This window comes from Homo sapiens, chromosome 11 (genome assembly GCF_000001405.40).
Source record: "Homo sapiens chromosome 11, GRCh38.p14 Primary Assembly".
Classification (NCBI taxonomy): domain Eukaryota; kingdom Metazoa; phylum Chordata; class Mammalia; order Primates; family Hominidae; genus Homo; species Homo sapiens.
This window is the reverse complement of record NC_000011.10, coordinates 41,843,954-41,853,277: the sequence shown is the minus strand read 5'-3', so window position 1 is coordinate 41,853,277 and position 9,324 is coordinate 41,843,954.

Sequence of the window (9,324 nt, the reverse complement as noted above, 5' to 3'; positions counted from 1 at the left end):
GCTTATTTAGCATATCCATTGAGTTCTCTCTTATTTTTCCTATGAAAAGCTCAAGGTGAAGTTCAAAGATACTTTTCTCTTTTTTTAAACAAAAAAGATGCCTCAAACATTATAATGAAGTGGAAAAACCAAGAGAATAGCAAACTATGAAATGTAGAAAATGTCAAAGGGGTAAGAAGAGGTACTTCTGATTGAGGGTGTTAAATTTCAGTGAGAGTATGTATAATCCAATTTATCTCTTTCATATATACTCTAACATCATGCCTGTGCATTAATTGGGAATTTTAATTTCAATTTGTGCTGTGCCCCTATGCTATCTTTGCTAATATTCCTTCCTTTTGCTTTTCCATTTTCTCTTTCCCACCTTCTCTCTTTCTCCAGGGCCAACTAAAGTTACCTGTTGGAAGAGTATGAGATTGCCTTAATGATATATTTGATTTTAATAACTCCAAGGTGGCTGACCTCTTAACTTGGTGCCTGGGTCTATAAATTAAGGGTCATAACTTCCAAGCCTTATAATTTCTTTCCTAGTGCTATAGGCAAAGAAACACTCATATGCTGAGCATCATCTCAAATTCTTGGACTGCTTATCTATGCTAGGAAGAAGTAGTCAATTATAACTAGGGATGGTGCTCATTTGCAAAGTCAGAACCCAATTATTTTCCTGAGAAGCTGGACATTGAAGTGTTTGGGATGAACTGATTCCATCTTGTTACCTCTAAGGATCTTGCTGATATTTATCAACTGCATTTCACAGATTTATATAATGCTCAGCTTCTGTATGAAGTACAGAATGATACAAAGCTTAAAATCTCCTACTATAAGGAGAATAAGAGTGACAGCAAGAAATTGAGAGAGGAGGAATGAAAGGAAAGAAGGAAGGAAGGAAGGAAGGAAAGAAGGAAGGAAGGAAGGAAGGAAGGAAGGAAGGAAAAGATACAGCGTAGGGCTGGTAGTGTGTATTAGCAGAGGAGTGGATAGCTAAACCAAAATAATCTGGTTTTATTTTTTCAGGAGGCTTTTGAATTCATGTCTCAAAATTTGTTTTCTCTGTTTTATAAAAATATTCTGAAATACCTCACTTATGTATCATTAATAAAAGTCTGACCCCAATTGCTTATAAATTTGTAGGAAGTTTCTGCCTTGCTTTATTTCTTGTCTATTTTTGCTTTAAAGGGAGATCCAAAGAACTCAGTGAATGCCCCCTTTTTTTCTTTTCTGTGTTTTAAAATTCAGCTTATATTATTGACACAGTAATGGTTTGCAAGCTGTTAGCATTTGAAAAAAATGTCAAAATGCAATCTTAAATAATAGCCATAAATGATAGAAAATCTCTTTCTAGTAACATTTGTAACTACCCTAGGTGACACAAACTGTAGTGTTTTGCATTTATATATTTTGTTGTCCTGATACCATTTTCATACTGTTCTACTGAAATATAAGCCAAAAAGTTATTTTTGAAACAAGGTACAAGCTATGATGGAAAGAAAGGAGAGGAGAAGGACACAAGGAGAGAGAGATGGAGATAGAGGAAGAGAAAAGAAAGAGAAAGAAGGAAAGCACAAAAAGCAAGAACTCAATTTGTATCTATGGTGTGTGTTTGCTAACCCAACCACCTTCTTAGAAAATACACACCTTCCATTTTTTTGCAAAGGCTGAAGTCTACAGATAACTTTTCTGGGTCTCAACTGTGTAATTAAAAAAAAGTATAGGTCAGGCGAGATGATTTCAGGCTCTGAAATCTTATTCAAATGAGCAAATTGGTTCTGGTAGCCAGGTTTCTGCCATAATGGATATTGTGTAGCAACTATCCTTATAGAGAATTGTTAGTACATCAAATAGCAGGGTCAGACTTGTCCACAAGATAAATTAGCCCTCTTGATTAATGTTTCTTTGGCTGTTAGGATATTTTCAACTTGAGTTAAATGTGCTAGAAGGCTCAAATGAGACAAGTTTAAACAAATAGGTTGCTTTTGAAATGTCAACATGTAAAAACTAGAGTTACTGTTTATCATTTAGAGTTCACTGTTGTTTCTACATAACTTCATTTTAAGAAATATATGCAATATTTTTCATCATGCTTCTGTCAATATTTCCACTAAGTTGATAAGCGATCTCTAGATATGATCATCTATAAGTCCTCTGAGACATTACCCAGAAACCATGAAGCATCACTGATGTCCTTGTCACGTGCCAGTCATCTTGCAGATGTTCATCTTGCAGATGTTCAGATATTGGCTTTAGCAACAATACTTAATGATAGTTAATAATTGTGTGCCATTTTCCTCTTAAGAAATGTCAATCCAATAAGAAATATTTCCCAGAACTCGGAGGCGCATACACCAGAATTTAGCTATAGTGCTCTGTGGCCCACATATTAACAATGTTAGAGCCCAGCAATGTGCCTAGCACATAATAGGCAGTAAATAATTGCTGACAAGTGAATCAATGATCTTTTCACATCCTCCCAGATATTGAGATGTAGACAACTTTTAAAAGTACTAATCATACATAACTAATCTCTATTCTAAAGACTAAAAAACTGAAATCAGAATTTAACTAAGACCTATTCTATGAGGAATTTGTCTCAGGTCCGATTCAGTGTCATTTTGACCTATATAGAAGTCACTGCTGGAGGAAACAGTTGTCTTACTTTACCATTTGATAAAATTTCACTTTTTCGGAAGAAACTGCAGATTCATGAGAAAAGTCAAGCTCTTTTGTGGGATTTTCTCTATCGATGCCATCCATCACTGTGGCTGCAATGGAGCTCTCTGTATCTTCCGCCTCCACAGTGCTCAGCTGTTTTTCTCACCTGGCACCAGAAATGCAACTCAAAGAAAGAAACAGCAGAAGGGAAATAAAACAAGAACAAGAAGCTGGGATTGAAGCCAGATGAGGTGGAATGAGCAGAGGGGCTGAGAGATATAGAATCTAAATTCTACATTACGCTTTGCCACAACCCACCTCTGAGAGTGTTGGCCCCATCTCTTTCATCATTCTTCTGCTTCTTAAAAAGGTTGATATGATGAGGAAAATAGGAATGAGGAGAGAGGATCTAAAGTCTCGTTGCTTCAAAGCTTTAGCTGTTCAATATCTTCTAAGATTTCTGTGATTCTGAAACTTACACGTTTAAAAATTTAGAGCCTGATGGACTAGCTCTGAAACAAGCAAAGCAGAAGGTAGAGCCAGTGAGCATAGGATTTGCTGTCCATGTGTAGGGGGAAAGGAGAAAAAGTAGTTTCAGATATCCTTGAAGTAAACCAGTGCAGGTCAAAAAAGAAACAAAGACAGACATTTAGGACAGACTAATGATGTTACTACCATGGTGAAGTAGAAATGATTATTATTTAGATTGGTAGCCATAGTTTTATGTGTACATATATATGTGTGTGTGTGTGTGTGTGTGTGTGTGCATATATATACATACACACACAAACATCAAATTGTACACACTAAAATAAGTGCATATTATTATTAATTTCATTCTACTGCACAGATATACTTTTTCTAGTTCTTTTCTACATATATATGTATATGCAGAAAAAGTTATATAACTATATATCGTTAATTTTTAAAAATCAGATCAGATAGGTGTAGGGGTGTGTCCATAATCTCAGCACTTTGGGAAGCTGAGCAGGGAAGATCACTTGAGCTCAGGAATTTGAGACAGGCCAGGGCAACATAGTGAGACCCTATCTGTATAATAAGTTTAAAAAATTAGCTCAGTGTGGTTGCACATGCCTGTAGTCCTAGCTATTCAGGAGGCTGAGGTGGGAGGATGGCTTGGGCCTGGGAGGTTGAGGCTCCAGTGAGACATGATTGTGCCCTGCACTCCAGCCTGAGCGACACAGAGGGATGCCATCTCAATAGAAAACAAGAAAAAAAAAAACAACTTAAAATATCAAGATCTACAAATTTGTAAAGGAGAGAGAAACTTTATTTCTCCTGAAGGATTACAGTCTACAAGGTGGCCATCCTGCAGGCTGGGGAACAGCCTCTAGCCAAGATCAGAAACAGTTACTTTGAAGAAGAAAAGGTTGGAATAGGAATTTTATGCTGAACAGGTTGGCTAAACATACATACTCAACAGGTTACAGGAGGAGCTATGAATATTCATAAAGGTGGTCCTGACACATGCATATTGAAAAAACATGCATGTAACATACAACCCATGTTTACTTTCAGGTGTAGACTTAACATTTAAATGTATTACAATTAGGCCCTATGTATTAGTCTGTTTTCACACTGCTACAAATATACTACCTGAGACTGGGTAATTTCTAAACAAAAGGGGTTTAATTGACTCACAGTTTCACATGGCTGAGGAGGCTTCAAGAAACTTGCAATCATGGCAGAAGGCAAAGGAGAAGCGAGGCCATTATACGTGGAGGCAGGAGAGAGAGATCACAGGGAAAACTGCCACTTTTAAAACCATCAAATCTCATGAGAACTCCCTCAATATCACCAGAACAGCATGGGGGAAACTGACCCCATGATCCAGTCACCTTCAACCAGGTCCCTCCCTCAAAGTGTGGGATTACAATTTGAGAGGAGATTTGGGTGGGGACACAGAGCCAAAACATATCACCCTATATGTCACAACATCGTTTTAGGCCACAAAGGCATGCAAGTGCACAATCTCTGTAAAATGGCCAGAACCAGTCCTTGGTTGGCGTCCTGTTTATCTGTAGGAAGTTACTGTAATCAGTCTTTTGTCCAATAAAAGCTGTGTTAGTGGCTGGTGGAGCAGGGACTGGCGGTCAGTTAGTGAACATCTGATGGAGCTGCAAATTGTTTTAATGTTGCTTATCTCAAGGCCAGTGTTTGTTTAGCTGCTAGAGAATAAGAAAGACCTTGTGGCAATTAGAACATGGTTTATTCTGTAAGTGTAGAGAATGTGTGACTTAAATTCTTGCCTGTTATAATTTGGTATCTTATTGCCAAAATGTCTGGTTTATAATTTTGTATCTTATTGCAAAAAAGAGCAGGTTCTGTTGGTTTTATGATCTTTATTTTAACATTAATTTTGGTCAGTTGTCCCTAAACCATAAAAGGGAGGGGTTATAATGAATCCCAACTGACCTGTCATCCCATATGGCTGGGAACTAGGTTTTTAAGGTTTTTTGGGGGTCCCCTTGGCCATAAGGGGTCCACTGAGTCAGCAATGACTTAGGATTTTTAGTTTACAATATATATGTATATATATATGTGTGTGTGTAGATGTGTGTGTCTGTATGTACGTGTGTATGTAGGACAGAACCAGAAAAGTGTACATCTGTATACCAGAATGAAACATTTTGAAACAATTTTTAATCAACTATATTGAGATATAATCTGCATATAATGAAATTTAAGCAGGTTGAATATGTAGGTCAATGCCTTTTAAAAATGCAGACAGTTGTGTAGCCAGCACCCTAGTCAAGATGTAGAGAATTTTTGTCCCCTGGAAAGTGCTCTTTCATCCCTCTGCAGCTGATCATTTCCATGCCACCTCTGACACAGAGAATCACTGATAAAATTTCTGATCAGGATAAATTAGGTTTTCCTGGTTTTGAACTTAATAGAGATAGAATGTTTTGTTATCACATTTTTTTCACAACAATATCTAAGATTCATTCATGTTATTCAGTTTCAATCATTTTTGTTTCTGCATAGTTGATGTCATATGAATATACCATATAATATATCACGTGGATATACCACAATTTGCTTGATGGACAATTAGAGATATTTAAACTTTCAAGAAAGAAACCCATATAACAAATATATGGGTATATGTGTGTTTGTGTGTGTGTGTGTGTATATACACACACAGTATATATACGTATATATATATAAAACACTCCTCCTAAAAATATACATACTTCACCAAAAGTAGGGAGGAATTATTAATAGTAAATGCAAAGATGTAGGCTCCAATAATAGAGGAGATGGTTAAAAATACTTCTCAAAATCATGCTGAAGGTTAGCAAAAACCTGGAGAGAATACAGAGCTTCAAAAGGGACTCTAAAACAGAAAAATACATATTTCCCCATTCAATTGCCTTGACATCTTTGTTGAAAATTAGTTAAATTAGTATGTATGGGTTTATTTCTTCTTTCTCTTTTCTGTAACATTGATCTATATGTGTATTTGTATGAATACCAAATGTCTTGATTACTATAGCTTTTAAGAGTAAAACTTGACTCCAGGTACAGTAAGTGCTCCAACTTTGTTCCTCTTAAAGTTGGTTTATTTATTCTGAACTCTACATTTTTACATAAAATTTAGAATCACTTTGCCAATTTCTATTTATTTATTTTTTTATTTTATTTTATTTTATTTTATTTTATTTTATTTTATTTTTTGAGGCGGAGTCTCGCTCTGTCGCCCAGGCTGGAGTGCAGTGGCACGATCTCGGCTCACTGCAAGCTCCGCCTCCTGGGTTCACGCCATTTTCCTGCCTCAGCCTCCCGAGTAGCTGGGACTACAGGCAACCGCCACCACGCCCAGCAATTTTTTTTTTTTTTATTTTTAGTAGAGACGGGGTTTCACCATGTCAGCCAGGATGGTCTCGATTTCCTGACCTCGTGATCCACCCGCCTTGGGCTCCCAAAGTGCTGGGGTTACAGGCGTGAGTCACCGCGCCAGGCCAGTTTGCCAATTTCTATAAAAACTCCTGATGGAATTGATGGAATTGTAATTGGAATTTTGTTGGGTCTTTCAATCCATACCCATGTTAAGTCATTTTATTTAGTTAGATCTTCTTTATCTCAGTGAACTTTTATAATTTTAAGTGTAGAAATCTTAGACATTTTTGGTAGATTTATTCTTAGGTATTTTATATGTTTTTTAAAAAGTTTTTCAGTGTTCTGTTGTCCATATGTGTGTGTGTGTGTGTGTGTGTGTGTGTGTGTGTGTGAATACAATTACTTTTTGTTTATTAACTTTTCATCTTATGAACTTCCTAAATTTGCTTATTAGTTCTAATAATTGTTTTATAGATTCCTTGAGATTTTCTATGTAAACAATTAGATTATCTTATTTTATAGAAACAGTTTTGCTTATTTCTTTTCAATCTGATTATTTATTTAAATGATAAAATCAGGAATTCTCACCTTATTTCCAATCTCAAAGGCAAACATTTCAGTTGTTTATCATTAAGTATAGTGTTGACTGTAGTTTTTTTTCCAGGTGATTTTTGTCGGTTTGAGGAATTCCTGGTTTGCTGCGTTTTTAAAATCATGATAATTGTTGAACTTTTGCAAATAATTTTTATGCACTTATTGAAATGATAATTGTTTCTTCTTTATTCCATTGATAGGCTACATTACAGAACTAATTTTTAATGTTGAACTAACCTTTCATAAACCTTAATTGTTTATGATGTATTGTCCTATATATTATTGGATTAAATGTTAACATTTTAAATTATTTTTTCCATCTAAATTTGTGAAGAATATGGATTTATAATTTTTATATGTCTTTGTCATGCTTTGAAAAAATGTAATTTCTTCTCTGAGTGCTTGATAGAGCTCACTAGCTAAAATTATATGAGGCTAGTGTTTTGGGAGAAAAGGGTTTGATAATAACTTCATTTTAAAAATAAATAAAGGACTATTTAGATAGTTTTTCATTCGTTTAAAAATTAGGTTTTCTTTTATGTCATGAAGCATAGTTACAATAGTTGTTTAAAGTCATCGTCTGATAGTTTCTCTATCTAAATTTTTGGGGGGTTGGTATTCTTTGATGGTCTTAGCTTTAGAAAATCAGATCCCTAGTTCTCTGAATGATTAATAATTTTGGATCATGCCCTGGATATTGTGAAGATTATGCTGTGTAGATCTGGGGTCTTGTCATATGCCTCTGTACAACGTAGAAGTTTTTGTTTCTCAGCCTGGTTAGGTTTAGACAGCAAATCATTTCTCGCACTCTGGATGATAGTTCAAATCTCAGTTCAGTTATCTAAGCCATTGTTACACAGGTTGGGTTCTGTCCCATGTGCAGCTCAGCAGTTAAAAAAGGGTTCTGCCTGCAGAGGTCGCATTTTTTCTCATTCTTCTAATCAGAAACTTGAGTCTTTTATCAGACAGTTAGAATGCCAGGACACTGTGTTACTTTGGACTGGGATTCACATTGAGGGCAAAGCCAGGAGAGAAAAAATGAGTAGGAAATTTTAATTTATGTGGATTACTTCTTTGAGTTCTAAATTTCCCTCACAGTCCATCTGCTTGTACTTATTTTCCTAGTCCTAGGTAGTTGTTGTTGTTATTGTTTTAATTTTTTTTTATTTTGTCCATGATTTTTAGCTGTAGTTAGTGAGAGGGTTGGGCAGTAGTGGGCTCACGGTGCCGTAACAGAACGTAACAGAACTGCATCTCCACACCTTAGCCATCATTGTTTTTGAATATTGTTTTCATATTAAGCAATTGTAGTGCAAAGCTTAATCACATATATGATTGTATTTATGAATATTTTCTTGTAAGTAGGTTATCATATGTCTGAGTGGAATGACAGTTTATTCCTTCAATTTTCAATTCTTAGAACTTTTATGTTTATAACCCTGGATAGAACTCTTAGCACAATGTTGACTAGAGATAGTGATAACAATATCCTTATCTGATTCCAGGATCTAAAGGTAATGCTTTAAAATTTTTATCTATCAATATTATATTTGTGGAGATATTGGGAAATTTCCATTTATGAAGTTAAAAATGTTCTCTTGCACTATTTGTTTATTAAGAATTATTTTAATTTAAATTATAAATGGGTATTAATCATTTTTCTGAATCTATTGACATGACTAAATATTTTTGTCTCTTTTAAACTGATACTTTGGTGAATGACATTATACAATTTCTAGTTAAAAGCCAAAATTTGTACACACACACACACACACACACACACACACACACACATAGATATTGATATAATTTCATTCCATAGCTGAATTTTGCTGGGCAATATTATATTTAAGGTTTCACGTTGGCTGGGTGCAGTGGCTCACGCCTGTAATCCCAGCCCTTTGGGAGGCCAGGCGGGCGGATCACGAGGTCAAGAGATCAAGACCTTCCTGGCAAACATGGTGAAATTTTGTCTCTAAAAATACAAAAACTAGCTGGGCGTGGTGGCGTGTGCTTGTATTTCTGGCTACTGGGGAGGCTGAGGCAGGAGAATCACTTGAACCTGGGAGGCAGAGGTTGCAGTGAGCCGAGATCATGCCACTGCATTCCAGCCTCGTGACAGAGTGAGATTCCATCTCAAAAAAAAAAAAAAAAAAAGAAAGAAAGAAAAAAAAAGAGAAGATTTCATGTCAATTTTTAGTGGATGTTGTTGGTCTA